This window comes from Homo sapiens, chromosome 14 (genome assembly GCF_000001405.40).
Source record: "Homo sapiens chromosome 14, GRCh38.p14 Primary Assembly".
Lineage (NCBI taxonomy): Eukaryota > Metazoa > Chordata > Mammalia > Primates > Hominidae > Homo > Homo sapiens.
This window is the reverse complement of record NC_000014.9, coordinates 47,295,387-47,311,503: the sequence shown is the minus strand read 5'-3', so window position 1 is coordinate 47,311,503 and position 16,117 is coordinate 47,295,387. Positions and strand designations below refer to the sequence as shown.

The window sequence follows — 16,117 nt, the reverse complement described above, 5'->3', positions numbered from 1 at the left end:
TGTTTTTTTTTGACAGGCTAAGAAACTTGTCCATGGGGCTAGTCACAGGCAGTGGCAGTGATTTCTCAATGGAGAGAAACAGTGGGGACATTGGCAGGCCAGATCCTCACAATTCTCTGCCTACTATTGCTACTCTTGGAAAAGCAAATTGAAGTTTTCATTGTTGTCATATTTCACAGTAAATTTTATTTGTTTTCTTGATGAGTTAGGCTGGAAGAAATAACGTCTCTCTCTAATTACCCAATTTATGCTTAAGGTTGGAGCACAATGATAAGACTAATTTCATTTTGGTTAGTATTTGCTGGGGCTTTGTGGATGTTTCCAAGAAAACTGAAGAGCCCTTAATTTTAGAGAAGGATTTAAGTATACATTTCAGTCTACAGAGATTAAAAATGATGTCATTAGTACCTCTGCCTTTAGGAGTCCTGATCTCTTAAGGTGCTGTGATAATTTATAAGAGGCAAGGAAGATTTGGTTCAAAGAACCTTGAAGAGTTCATTGCCCACATGATATATGGCTTCTGACACTATTAACAGGATGCCATTTCACAAGTTTGATTTGGAGGGAAAGACCTGATCAAAGATTTTAAGGATTAAATGCCATCCTTTCCTGCAGTGTTATAATAGCTTCTCTCCCACTTTTACTATATTCTTGTACAAATTTCAAAACCTATAAAAAGTGGTACCATAAAGGCAAGAGGTAAGCTCCATTGTTTTTATCTCAGCTTTCTTGTTTGTTTGTTTGTTTTATACTCTATGACCTAGTTGCCAAGATTTCTGGAATATTTATGGGGTTTTTGGTCTAAAATTTACTGATTTGGTAAATATCTAATTTAACCTTTAGTGGGAGACAATTCAGGATGTAGCATAGGATCCAATATAAAAAAAGGAACATATATATATATATTCATTATGTGATGTTACATTCATACCAAAGAAGAGGAAAGCTTAGTTCCCTACAATATTTACCTTCAAGTTGGGGTATTCCACTTAGTTTATACAAGTCGTTTGAGCAACATGAGATTAGTTAGATATTTGATGGATTTTCAAATATCTCCCAGGTTCAGGTCAAATCTACTGGGAAGAACATAGTGAGGGACTTAGGGCGGGAACAGCCAGGTAGAGACAGGGAACATGGATGACCGATGGCTATGCGTGACTGCCTAGACTTGATGGCCCATGGTTCTTCTCTGGCATACTTGTCAGAAGTTGTCAAATGCTGTATTTGAAAAGAATGTTATGAACCTTAGATTCAGTGTAACTTTTTTTTTCATCTCTAAAACATGCAAGGGTTTTTGAAGTTTTAGGCTTAGATGCTAATAGGGAACTCTTCTAGGTGAAAACAAATAAAGGTAATCCTGATGAAATCTGAAGCTGCCAATGTGTAAATCTTCATGAAATAACATTTTTAGAATTGATATTGCTTTGTTTTAAAAAATAGGACACTTGTTGTTTTGTGGAAGATAATTCAGAATAATATTTTGCAATTTTGTATTCAATTTTTTATAAAGTTAATACTTGTCAAACAAGATAGTTTTTACACAGAAAATATGATTGCTTTTTATCATTGTCTTACCATTAGAATTTAAATTACATAATTTATTTTTTGTTTACCATTAAAATTTAATGTACATTTAATGTAAGTTTAAATTGTTATTGAATGTCATTGCTCTCTTTTGATGACAAACTTTCATCTGTCTTTCAAAATAGTATACCATATACTGCACATAAACAAGTAATTTGACTTTAAATAACAAATTAAATTAAAATTTAACTTAAATTAAATGTTTAAAGTTTTTTCTTTAAATTCTTGGTTAACATCAACCTAAAAAATTATGTCAACTTTTATTATTTAGCAAACGTTAATAATTGCCATCTGAAGCCAGAAGCTTCTGGATTTAATTTAATTGCCTTACTTTGGGCTTTGTAAAGTCTCTTAGAGTGGTTCAGTTACTTTATAACAATGCTACCCAACATGTACTAAGGAAATAATACAAAATATTAAAAACCTTTAATAATCAAGGCCTTTCAACTAAAGTCATATGAGAAAGATATAACCTTCTCTTGATTAAATCCAGTATATCAATAGGATCTTACTACTTTCACTTTACAACTCATCAAATTAAGGACAAAAAAATATTTATCTCTAGTGGACAGGAATACAATGTTAACCAAACATGGCGGTGGGAGGTTGGTAGAGGGAGTGCAGAAATAAGTTTACATTGATGTGGATATTGTAGTTAGTTTAAAATAACCAATGGAATCAAACAAATAAAATGATCTGCAGTCTGACTTAAAATAATATATATGTTGTTTATGTATCAGAATATTTTTCTATTTGGGATTACATAAATGACAATTACAGAAAGATTTTAACCATTTTTTGAAGAAATTATTGAATAGATATACAAGTTGAACATTTAGCTTATGTGCATGTTTGGATATGTGTTTATGTTCATGGGTGCAGGGAGTATGGCAGTGGGATAAAAGAATAGTCTTTATTGTGTTATAGTATAGGACAAGTATGTAATTTCAAAGATCTTTGCATAGAAGTAAAAGCAAGTAAGCTAAGGCTGAAGGAGAGCAAATGATCACAATAATGACCAAAAAAAGAAATAGCGATTTACCAAAGTGGTCTTCTATTTTCCTGCCCTGTTCTTTTAGAAATACAAATGATAGGCAGAGCCAGACTGTAGTAGACAGAGGAGGGCAAAGCACATGCCAAGGATGGCTGTGAATGTGTTATCATTATTTCTAATCACTAGACAGTAAAGGAAAGACAAGAGGAGTCCTGTTGATGGGAGGATAAATGTTGCTCTTTTGTCTCTGTTTTTTTTTTTAATGGGACACACTAAGCTTATTTATATGCTGTAGCATATTTAAATGCTGTGAGGATTAGCCTTGATTGTTTTACAGAAGATATTAAACAGCTTTGAGAGATTCCCTCATATGTGGTCCTGAAGTTGACAGAGTTGAATTTGTAAAAAAAAAAAAAAAAAAAACTAACAGAAAGAGAGGGAAAAAAGAAAAGAAAGAAAGTGGCCTTTTAGAGAAATTTATTTTTTAAGAATGTGGAAGGATACTAGAAAATAATATTGTAGTGGCAAAAAGTTGCAGTTGTGCTAGAAGTACAAACATGATGAGTTGTTGTTTCTTATGATTAAAGTAATTATTCTTTGCAGTCCTAAAATGCTGGTACAATATTGTTGAAATATTCAGTTTTTCACTTATCACTCCTTTTTACATATGAGTAAGCCTAAATAGCGGTTTTACTATTTGCTTCAAGCTTGATTTGACCTACTGAGATCTTTTTCCTCAGTCAAACCACACATCGTTCATCTTTTGACTCCAATTCTCTGCAGCCATTGCTCAGTCAAAATTCACTAATGCTGCCTTAATTCCCAAAGGCAATGACCTTTTGTCTGTGCTGCTCCTAACTGACAACTCCATGGTATGTAATATTTTTGGACAGTCCACTGTGCTCGGCTGTCTACTTATGTAACTTCTAAAGCACCTCATTTTCTTTGTTCTCCTTCTACCTCTCTGACTTTATAATCGCACTAAGTCTCTTTCTTTAGCTTCTCTAGTTAAGAATACATATTTATCATGGTTCTATCATAACTTATTCTCACTCTACATGCTCTCCTATAGAACTCTCCTCTATTCTATGTAGCATCAACTACCATTGAAAGCTCTAAAACTTAATGTCCAGCAACAACTTGTCAACTATTGGTGAACTCACCATCAGCATCCAAAACTGAATTCTCCACCTTCTTCTTCAAATCTTCATATTTTTTTCCTGCCTTTTTTTTTCCCCCCCACAGAGTATCTCTCTGTCACCTAGGCTGGAGTGCAGTGACAAGATCTCGGATCTTGTCTCACTGCAACCTCCGCCTCCTGGGTTCAAGCAATTCTCCTGCTTCAGCCTCCCAAGTAGCTAGGACTACAGGCACCCACCACCACACCTGGCTAATTTTTGTATTTCCAGTAGAGACTGGGTTTCACCATGTTAGCCAGGCTGGTCTCAAACTCCTGACCTCAGGTGATCTGCCTGCCTCGGACTCCCAAAGTCCTGGGATTACAGGCATAAGCCACCACAGCTGGCCCTGTCAAATTTTTTGATAATAAAACATGTAATGTAACTAGGCTAATGAGGAAGATGTTAGGCAATGGAGTTGTCAACAACAGGAGTAATATGGACTAGGACTGTATGCACAAAAAATATATAAAAATCAGTTTAGAATATCATTGTGAAAAAGGGAGGTGGGGGAGATCTCATGTAATATATTAAACCAGAAACTCAGATAGGAAAGAAAAGAATGGAAGCCACCATATCCTTGAAGTACTATACACGTGCTACATTGAACATTTTGAGATAAACAGAAGAAACCAATCATTGACAATGCTGATTAGCTAAATGTAACATGTTGTAGAAAACTGAGAAGTGTTTTATGAAAGCGTATGATCACTTAAATCAATAGAAAGCTGGGAAGAAAGTTTGATTATTGTTATGTTTGCTTTACAAGCAAAACAGAATGACAGCTAAGAGAATGGTATAAGTAATACATACTGACTCTTGGCCATGTGAGAACAGTAAGGTATAGGCTGTCTGTCTGTCTCTATCTGTCTATCTGCCTCTCTCTCTCTCTCTCTCTCTCTCTCCCTCTTTCTCTTTCTCTGTCTCTCTATCTCTCTGTCTGTCTTCAAAATATCAATAGTACATGAGTAATGCTGGCACAGCATGGTTTGCTGAGCTGTTCACTAGAGGTTCTAGGAGAGGGACCAGTGAACATCCTTCTCTCCACACTACTTAACTAAACAGATCTGTTACCTTAACCAAGAACATAAGTTACATTGACCTAGTGTGGAAGAGTAGCAACATGCCAGTGGCAACTTGAATTCCCAGAGAATAGCTGCGTGAGGGATTTGAGAGATTTAACTAAAAAACCAGGCTCTTACTTGAAGCTCTTAGCAGAGAGGAAGCTCCTTGTACCAAAACCATAAATAAAACCATAAATGCCTGATTAGCAGCACGTTTTTCAGGAAGCATCGCCATTACTGAAAAAAGTTTCTTCATCAGAAACATTTCTCATCTAAGCCCTCATGCCAACAACCCTCCACCCCCAATGAATTGGGCTTAGGGCCCCTCATCTCAAGATTCCCCCAACGGTGGGTAATGTGAGTTCCATGGCGATCAAGAAACTATCTCCTATTAAAATAAAAAATTGTCATCTTTCACCTAGTCAGGGTATAAACTTCAGTGTCATCTTAACTCTTTCCCTCACCCTCAGATTCAGTTAATTGTCATGTCCTTTCTAACAAGACCTCTAAAATGCATCTCTCCTCCATTATCCATTCCCAGGCCTCTCCAGTGTCTCTCCTATGTCTGAGACATAGTGGCAAGCTGATAAGGCTGTACAGTGGCAAGGTATGGAGTAAATGATAAACTACAGGGGATACATTTTTACATGGTTATTTCAGAAACACAATAGACACTGGCATATTACAAAGGCATATTTCAGATTTGCCTTTGAGCACACTGTTTTCTCTCTCTGAAATCTCCTTCCTCTTTTGCTCCCAAGAGCATCTCTCCAAACTTAGGTTAAATGTCACTGACTTTGCGAAACTTGTTAGACTCCCCCAGGCAGATTTAGCTATCGTCTGCTTTGTCTTTGTTTAGTACTTTTCATTTTCTTCTGTTAGAGTGTCTATCCTATTCAATTATCATATAATTTTAAATAATTTAGACAAACCCAGTAGGCTGTAAGCCTTTAGCAGGTGCAGCTCATGGCATTAATCATCATATCCCCAGCACAGAGTCTCATGCCTGCTATAGCAGCTGCTCAATAAATATACGCTTGAAAGTCTATATATGAGGTGAAAGGATTAAAATGCCCCTGGTTGTTGCCATTGTAGAATAATTTATTTGTACTATTTCTCCAGAGTGAATTTGGTTTAACTTTCAAAAGTATATTCTAACAAGATAAAAGAATGTCTCTCTTTTGCCCTTTTAGGCTGACCTCTTCAACCCAAAGCCAAAATGTCCTCGGATTAAGACAGTTGATATGATTAGTGTTAGGAAAGATTTTACATAATGAAATTTGGTTTACTTCAAGAAAATTTGGATGAATATGAGTCTCATGCAATATTTTAACATTGTAATTCATTGCTGACTCTACAGGGCAAAGGAGATCTTAACCCTTAGTCCAATTTAAGGATGATGAATTGAGGTTTTTTACCAACAAGGCAGAGGATCAGAGATGTCTTGCTTCAGGTATAAAACTGCAAATTGCATTTATATTTAAAGTAAGCAAATGCACTGCCATAATAGTTGATATTTTGCTAAAGTAAGAAGTTGATGTCATTATAGTGATAGTTGCTAAAATAGAAACTAAAACTCAATTAGTAAATAAATACCTCCTCTGTGCTGTGAATTATGTGATATGGGGATGATGCCAAAAATGATGCTCAGTCTGGCACTGAGATGCTTACTATCGTGTTTGAATGTGGAGAGAAAGGAAAATCACAAAGCAATAAATACATACCTCATGGAAGAAAAGAGAAGATAATCATTTATAAGTAATCCAAGAAGGTATCAGGAACATGGGTCCAATTATTGGTATGGGAATCTTAGATGGGAGAACATTATAAGCAAAGACACTTAAAATCTCAGGGTTCTTTGCATTCTCACTGAGGATAGCCTGATATTACAGAGAAATGGGACTTTTAGTTGGATGGTAAGCATGAGGACCCTTGACAGAGGGCCTAAATGCCACCCATGCACAGCGATTAGGACTCTATGAAATGTCATAGGGAGATATTGTAGGTTCTTAAGCAGAGAAACAACATAATGTAAATAGAAATTTCAAAATACTATTTTGATCATTGTGAAATGTCATGGATTTGGCAGGTACTGGAGGTAGGATGATGAACTGGGACAACATTCTATTGTGAAGTTTGGTTAAGTTTGGAGCAATTCTGCTACTTACATTCTTAATCTAGTTTATGGTGCTCTAACTGCTTTATTAATGGTTTCTCAATAGTTTTTTATACCCCTAGCCTAGTCTAGGTCTGGGTCTAGTTTGGGAGTTATTTAGAACACTAATTTAACTATGACAGACATAGTTTAAATAGACAGCATCAAGTAATGAAAAGAACAATAGGCCAGTGGCTTTGGTCTCGTTTAGCCACAACTAGCCACAGGATTGTGACAAAGTCATTTGATGTCCTCAGGCTTTTCTTTCCTAATCGGGAAATAAGAGTGCTGACCTATATGAACTCTAAGGTCCTTTCAAGTGAGCTTTGTGCACATAAAAGAATTAAGGGAAGCTTCCAAAATACTCTCATTATCGTTGAGCAGCTAAAATATTGAGCACATATTTTGATGAATACTAAAAGGAAGACAACTTCCACACTTAAAATTTGATGAAATATTCCACCCTCCTACAGGATAGGTGGTAGGTTCATGATGACTGCAGTATGCAGGCAATTACCTTTTCCAAGAATGTGTTATAATATAGAAGAAAAATAGCAGAAAATTAACCCTTGTAAATGTCACAGTGTGCTTACTGTATAATTTAAGTGGTTTAAATAAAGCTACTTATTTGCATAATGATGTTTTTGAAAGATATACCTTAAAAATAACAATACTAAGCATTGATTTGAAATTAAAACAAAAATAACAAGTGTAAATTAGTCTGGAAAGGATGTCATGTCACTATATAATTAGATATATTAATAAACGTGGGCTATCACTATCACATATGAAGCTAAAGTTAGCATGGAAATATATTTTAAGATAATAGATCTGTATTTTCTATTGAACATTTATTTTATTTTATTTTGCAAGCATTTATAGATTTTCATCAATTCGTTAACCTCTATAATATGGATATGACTATATTAGACAGATGCCTAAAAATAAGTACTTCACTAGTATTACTTATCTAAATTGAAGTCCAAATTTGATCACTGCCTGAAATGATTTGTAGGAAATGTGGTGTGAAACATATCAGAGCACTAAGAGAAACACCAAAGATAAGGATTTCTAATGTCATAAAACCAAACGAATTATTACAATGTCTAGACAGAGTCCAGAGACATGATGGAAAATTTTTAATAAATTGGTTTTATAGACCAAGCTGGACATTTGACTTAAGCATCATTTAATTTTTCAAATCAGATAAAATGATGCATAGCAGAAAGTTTAGTTACTTTAAAAAGACAAAGGAAAAGGATATTTTATTCCTTGGAGTATTTTTCTTTAGCCAACGAATATAATACCCAGAACCTAGTCTAACTAGCTCTGTCATTGCAGCTATCTGAGTGTTTGGTAAAAATGCAGATTCCTGGGGATTCCTGCAGATATATCAGGTCTCTGAACACCTTTGAAATTTGTATTTTTAACAAGTTCTTGAGGGGTGTTTATTATGCGTATTTAATGTCAAGACCACTTTTCTAGAAGTACTGTTTTGTTCTTATTCTACTATTGGAAACTTTTACCCATCATTTTGATGATGGATATTGGAAAGCAGGGTTCTGAGTTTCAAGGTTGAGTAACAGGATTATGCTTTGGTACCTAGAAAGAGCTGGACATAACCAGTTGTTTTATTAATCATAAGCGGTCTTTTCCATCTTCCAGTTTCTGCCTGAAATTGAGAAAGATAATGAAATACAACCTGATGTCAATTATTAAGCTCTATGGGTAGACTGTGCATTTATGTTATATAAAACAAAATAGTAGATATTGAAAACTATTCTATTTTACTTTCAGAACACAGCTTTTCCCAGAATGATTTTTTTCATGAGTTGGCCTTATAATCTTTTTTTCTTCCATAGAATCACCAAATTTATTTTAAAATTCTATAAGATTCATTGTCTTTAATGTTAGATAAAACATTCCTAATATGCTGGCACTGGCGTTAATTTTTAAGCAATCACAACCTCTGCTAGTAATACTACTGTTTAGGTTGAAGATATCTATCAGGAAATTCTTGAGATCACTGTCCTTTACATGAAGATATAACCTTTCCACTTGCCTTTAACTGAAATGATCATTCTCTTTCACTCCCAAATGTATGACAAACAAAAATGCTTAGTTCACAAAAGGAATTGATCTCCAATTTGAAGCTAGTAGCTGTCAATAATTTACTTGATGGCAAGCAGCATATCTTATTAGCTAAGTACTTCTCTCATGACTCACAGAAAGTTTCCATGTAGTTGTCCCCAACGATGTGTAAGTCAAGGAGTGTTAGTTAAATTTTACTGGCCCCTTGGCACTGAAGTAGGAGAAAATTATATTTAGAAATTTGGGCAGCTTTATGCTAATGAAGTTTCTTTTGAATCAGAATTTTAGACTCAGGCGACAATGGTATATTGTCTTCTTCCATGGCTTAATCAAGAATCATACTTTGTTTACATCAATACAGATGTCTATAAGTATGGTAAATTAAGTTGGTTTTCACTTCCTGAAAACCAAATCATCTTATTCGTGAGCTTATTAACTTGCGCGCTACATGACTTAAATAATTAACAGACAAATGTCAATGTCTTCCATTCAAATTCCCTTTTCTCCTCCAATTGTCTTCTTTCTTTTGCACTACATATTTTTGGTGCAATATTCCTTACTATGTTAAAATTTGAACTCAGAAAGGAAGGGACCTTCTCACATTTTAACAATCAAATTTTATCTTGTGGTCTTGTATTGATGGTGATTTCCTGAGGTTCTTCCACTACCTTGTTCCCCTGGAAATGTGTTGGTCACTGTTAGATAAATTTGAAGATTTCTTCCAGCAAAATCTTTAATGCCTTGGGGAGGTGTTAAGACTGATGAATCTGACTAATCTGACTATGGTGAAGTCTAATAAGAATTGCTTTTATAGTCAAGATGGTTCATGAGAAGATCACTGACTTACCTTTTCATGTATCTTGTCTCTCTTCTTCCTGACTCGACAGCTCCTCCCACGGTTCGTATTGTGCACTCAGGCTTGGCCTGTAACATTGAAGAGGAGCGCTACTCCGAAAGGGTCTACACTATCCGGGAAGGAGAAACCCTTGAGTTGACTTGTCTAGTCACAGGACATCCACGTCCACAGGTGAGTCCCGAACTGTGACACTGGAGAAAACATTCTCTGACTTTTCTCAGAAGTCAAAAAGTGTATATTTTAGAATATTTAGCTAAAACTGTGTGTGTGTGTGTGTGTGTGTGTGGGTGGGTGTGGGTGTGTGTGTGTGTAACTCAAGTGCAAGTATATGTGCAACGCAGGACAAGAGTGTGGATTTCGGAACATTCAAACTTGAGCTATTCTTTTGTATAAGATGAAAAAAGAAATTTTTGTTTTGGTATTGTGGGAAATGTAGAAGACACTTCTAAGGAAGCTGTTAAACAGACAACTACAAAAATATCTCAGTAGGATAACAATTCATATGGCAATGAGTTTATTTTAAAACGTGGAACATGATTTCATGATGACATAATTGCAACCGAGAGGTATTTGTTCTGAAGAATGTGAAGCATGAGGTCACACATACTTTTCTTACTCCTTGTCATTTTATTCATAGAAAACCTTGAAAAACAAACAGTTGCAGATACTGTATGCACTCAGGCCTTCAGAATCGTCATCCACAGCTTTCTTAAACTAATTTAATAGAAGCAATAAAAATGGAGACTTTTAAAGGGCACTAAAATTACAATATGCAAAGGCAAAGCCCAGGTGTGGTGGCTCACGCTTACAACCTCAGCACTTTGTGAGGCTGAGGCAAGGGGATCATTTGAGGCCAGAAGTTGGCGACCAGCCTGGGCAACAAAAGGAGACTGTGTCTCTACAAAAAAAAAAAAAAATTAAAAAATTATCTGGGCCTGGTGTTGCACACCCGTAGTCTCAGCTACTCTGGAGGCTGACGTGGGAGGATCACTTAAGCCCAGGAGGTCAAGGCTGCAGGTTGTCATGATTGTACCACCACACTCCAGTCTGGGCAACAGAGAGAGACCCTTTCTCAAACAAACAACAGCCAAAAAAAAAAGAATAAAAAATTTGTAGGAACAAAAGAAACAGTTATATAGAAGATAATATGTTTAGGTTATATATATATGATGCAACAATCTAATTTAGATGCAGAATATTGAGGATGTTTTACTCAATAATTGATAATTCTTATTGTCAATGACCTTACTAGCTCAAAATTCACATTTGTAATCAACACAAGCACTATGGTAGGAAAAATAGTTTCACTCAGTAGACAAAATTACATATTTTAAGTATTTGTGTTACAGGAAAAAAGAAATCCAGCTAACAAAGCTACAGAGGGAAAAGCGAAAAGTAATGTGGAGATTTTATGAACTCACCATTTTAACCCTGTTTTTAACTTCTGCCATTCTTAACTCTTACTGACGGATCCTTAAGTATCTTTTTATTTACCATTTTGACTCTGAAATGATAAAAATAGGCATATAAAGCATCACAGAATGAAGCATTAAATAGATAAGACTATGGCTAAAACAGAAATGGTAAAATATGTTTAATAAAACTCATGCTGTTGGTAAAATGAAAAAGAACAAAAGTAATCTGAAAGAATAATTATTAAAAATGTTGAAAAAGGAAAACTCACGATAACTAAAATTTCAAAGTATAACATTTGCTATTAACTGAAAATGGATTAAAGAATAAAATTGTCATAATGAAATTTAGAGAAACACAATTTGAGCCAGGATAATTACGCTTGATAGAAAAAAAAGATTCCAAAAGACAACATACAAGGACAGACTGATGACTGATAATTGTTAAAAATTGAAACAAGGAAATGGATATGTGAAACATTTTCATTTTAAAATTTATACAGAAAACAATGAAGTCCAGTGAAAATAATGTTACCAAAAATTTAAACAATGATAGACTTAATTCAAGATAATATTAACTCAAGGAAAATATAGTGTTGTTATAATTTGATTATATTTTTTGTTTTGTAGACATGGAATAGAAATTTCAGAATCAAAAGTTGGGATCTAAACAGGAGGGTCTAAACACATCCAAAAGAAGCCTTGAAGAGCTTTATGAGAGGCAGTTTATGGCAAGAGAAGACTCATTGAGGTTCCCATTAGTCCCACAAAGAGTGTACTAAATTTACACCTTCTGAACTCCAAATTATATTTTAAAATGCAACTTCTTATCTCTGTTTCTAACATACCCCAGGTGTTGCTCTGCTGCCTCTCTCTCCATCCTCCTGTCCCCTTAATATTAGAAATTTCCCATTTTATCCATACATTTTCCCTTTTTATCATTCACAATCAGGAGTACAAACTTTGACCTCTAGACAAACCAGATTAGGTTCTGAAACAAAGTAGATCATGCATTTTTATTTTTTTCCTAAGCAATTCCATTTTTTGGAAACATTTCAAGGTGTTTTGATCCTAAGAAAAATGTATTGTTTTGGTATCAATATTTTTTTATTCCTAGAAGTAATTAAGGTGTTTGCAGGTGAATCAGTTTCAGCTTATATTGCCCATTGAAAAATTAACTGGGCGGCTGGGCGCGGTGGCTCACGCCTGTAATCCCAGCACTTTAGGAGGCCAAGGCGGGCGGATCACGAGGTCAGGAGATCGAGACCATCCTGGCTAACGTGGTGAAACCCTGTCTCTACTAAAAATGCAAAAAAAATTAGCCGGACGTGGTCGCGGGTGCCTGTAGTCCCAGCTACTCAGGAGGCTGAGGCAGGAGAATGGCGTGAACCTGGGAGGCGGAGCTTGCAGTGAGCCGAGATCGTGCCACTGCACTCCAGCCTGGGCGACAGAACGAGACTCTGTCTCAAAAAAAAAAAAAAAAAAAGAAAAATTAAGTGGGCCTCTTCATTGTCAACAAACTGTATAAGGAAAGCTGACAGAACACCTGGGCCCTGGCATCCCGGCCAAAGTCTAAAGGGCAATGCTGTTGGCAGCTGGTCCTGAGGATGATTTTTCTTGGCTGATATGAGAAAGCTGGAATGACTTTCTCGCTTGGTCTAATCTGAGTATAATAATAGTTGGAAATGCAGTGGAAGAGAGAGGTTCCTCATTCACTCATCAGCAGATTTCTTAATCTGCTGCCTATTCTTGTAGCAGTAAGAGTCATAAAGATTGTTTATTTCCAAAAGTATTGTAAACAGCATTTTTTCTAGCCTCTTTAATTTTTTTTATGGTATATTGTTTAGTGATGGGTAGTGGCCTGAGAGTATTGATGTATCCAAAGAAAATGAAACAAGTGAAGGAGAGGTCAGTACGATGCAATGGTTAAGAGCATGATGCTGGAATCAGATTGTCTGGATGTAACCCTGGCTCCACCAGGACTAACAGTGTGACCTTGGAAAAGTTCCGTAATCTCCCAGCTTTCTGTGCCTCAGTTTTCTTTTTTATATATTAGGGATGATAATAACTATCTTATATCATAGAATCCTTTTGAGAGTTAAATTTATATTATGGATATATATACACACATATATTCTGTGTGTGTATATATACACATATTCATATATATACAAACACACACATACAAATACAACTATACATTCTTGGTACATAAGCATTATGTCAGCATGTAATAGAAACATATGTTGGCTTTATTATTTTTCAGTAATTTAGGACCATCAGCTCTAAGATCTAGATTTGGATGTGTAGGTATGAAAATAAGTAGATTTTAAAAATGGTTTTAGCATTCCTATATCCTGCTTTAAATTACATGCATTTAAATCAATTTCAGTATTTGTTGTGTTTTATTGCTCTGCATAGCCTTTACATCTCTGTTAATTAGCCTTTTTAGCTTGCAAGGAATAGAACTATGTTCAGACTACCTCGTTTAATGAGGGTTTATTACAAAGATGCATGAAGAAGTAAGAAAGAAAGAAAGTAAGGGTTTGCCAGTAAATCTAACAATCTAGTACAAACTCTAGATGTCTACAGCTTCAGGATTCAGCTACCCTTTTTCTTTCCTTCCCTGCCCCCCTCCTAACCTCCCTGCCCCTTCCCTTCCCTTCCCTTCCCTTCACACCCCTCCACTCCCCTTCCCTTCACTCCCCTCCACTCCCCTTCCCTTCCCTTCACTCCCCTCCACTCCCCTCTCCTCCCCTCCCTTCCTCTTTCTTCTTTCTCTCTCAAAATTGTCACGTCAATAATTTAAATACATTATAAATATAGTCTTCTTGTAAATGACTTAAACAGTAGGATATTTAACATAAATGTTTCTCTTCTCACTCCTACCTGCCCTCCTTCCCAGCAGTAGATATTAAATAGTTTGGCATATCACCTTTCAGTTCTCGTTCGTTGCATTTCCTTAAATGTAATTATTTATGTTCATGTTCCATTTTTAATAAGTGAGATAATGAAAAGTATTATTCTATGACTAGAATTTTTCACTTGGCCATGTGTCCAAAACACCAAGTATGGGTCAAGGCTGGTAGTTCTTAATATGTGGTTTCTGGAGATAATTGATTAAAAATGAAGATTCTCAGATCCCTTCACATTAGAAACCCCTGCATTGGGGCCAGCAATTCATGTTTTAGCAAGCCCTCCAAGTGAATCTGATGTCCACTAAAGTTTGAACCAGTGGCCTGGATCATTGTCTTCACTCAGGCTGAATAGTTCTTTGTATGGGTGCACTGAGTTTTGCTGTGAGTACTCTCAAATGTGTATAATTGCTGCTGTGTCCTTCATCATGAAATTACTTACAGATGGTCACTGTTATAAACAATCCAATGAATACTTGTAGGGTATATGTTTGTGTTGCCTGTATGTACATCTTTGTGAAATGTATGGTAGCATTGCTGTAGCATAGTTTCCTTCCTCAAAATGGAATTATTTAGCCAAAGTTGAAAGGGACCTGTTACTTGCTTTCTCAACGGCAGTGTATTTTTTTTATTTTTGTCAATTTGATTCAAGAAAGTAAATTACACTCTATTGTAGTTTAAATTTGCATTTTAAATCACTAGCCAATTTGAACATTTTCCCACATGTTTATCAGTCACTTGTACATCTCTATTTACTGGTTGCTGTTTATCTTCTCTTTTCTTACTAGTTTGCTGCTTATCTTCTTGTAGACTTGTGACGACAAATATACTACGTAAATAAATTCAATTGCTGATAAACATGTTGCCAATTGCACCTCCCAGTGTGTTACTTGTGTTTTAAGATTGTTTAAGATACTTTTGTTCTCAAGTTTTTGTTTTTAAAAGATGAATTGTTTTTGGCTTCTGAGTTTTGTAGCTACTTTAGCAAGATCTCCTTATATCCATTTTTTTTTCTAACAGCTTAAAGTCATTTATGTATTTGACAATTTAATCATCAGGAAATCATTTTGTCCTTAGTATGAAGTGTTAGTCTAGTGTTCTCTTTGTCTTTTTCTTCTCTCTCTTTCCCTCTTGCCCTTATACAAACAAGATGGTCAATATTCCACTGCACAGCTTCAAAATGATATTTTTAGCATTAGCAAAATTACATTAGTCTGCACCTTACTGTTATTCTTTTCTGTACCAATTCCATTTTAACTTCTACAGCTTTACTATATCTATCTATCTATCTATCTATCTATCTATCTATCTATCTATCTATCTTATCATCTATCTATATATGTATATTTTTAGACAGAGTCTCACTCTGTCGTCCAGGCTTGAGTGCAAGTGGCACAATCTCGGCTAACTGCAACCTCCGCCTCTTGGGTTCAAGTGATTCTCCCACCTCAGTCTACTGAGTAGCTGGGATTACAGGCACGTACCACTACCCCCTAATAATTTTTGTATTTTTAATAAAGACCCAGTTTCCCCATGTAGGCCAGGCTGGTCTCAAACTCCTGACCTCGGGTGATTCGCCCACCTCAGCCTCCCAAAGTGCTAGGATTACAGTTGTGAGCCACTGCGCCCGGCCTATAATACATTTTGATATATAAATGAGCAGGTCATTCCTTTATAGTTGTTTTAAAATATTTCCTCAGTTGACCTCAAACATTTTTTATCTACCCTATGAATTAGAAAATATGATTTTCATGTTCTCCACCCAAATAAATGTTGAGATTTTAGTTACATTGCTTTATTCTTGCAATGAGGTCATATGTAGAAAGTATGACCGGTTTTTAAAAGGAAGTTCTCAGTAGGAATACTGA

At 35.6% G+C, this 16,117-nt stretch overlaps 1 protein-coding gene across 9 annotated transcripts in view, besides 1 other annotated feature; it reads left to right on the top strand.

Annotated features, from left to right (window-relative positions):
• Positions 1-16,117, top strand: part of MDGA2 (MAM domain containing glycosylphosphatidylinositol anchor 2) — an 835,983-nt gene that overhangs the window by 364,102 nt on the left and 455,764 nt on the right. For 8 of the 9 annotated variants that reach the window (NR_103766.2, XM_011536519.3, NM_182830.4 and 5 more), the window contains exon 2: positions 9,954-10,093. Coding sequence is in view for 5 of the 9 variants with exons in the window: in XM_011536519.3 (XP_011534821.1) it covers positions 9,954-10,093 (140 nt within the window). In the remaining 4 variants the exon portion in view is untranslated. Of the gene's footprint in view, positions 1-5,361; positions 5,428-9,953; positions 10,094-16,117 lie in introns of all 9 variants that reach the window. The other variant, XM_047431049.1, reaches the window with a different exon arrangement.
• Positions 10,016-11,215: an enhancer, noted in NCBI's record as "BRD4-independent group 4 enhancer chr14:47769492-47770691 (GRCh37/hg19 assembly coordinates)". NCBI's record gives its function as "activates an origin of replication core promoter dependent on BRD2, P300/CBP, MED14 and CDK7 cofactors, and independent of BRD4, by STARR-seq in HCT116 cells {active_cell/tissue: HCT116}" and the evidence as "EXISTENCE:reporter gene assay evidence [ECO:0000049][PMID:35650434]".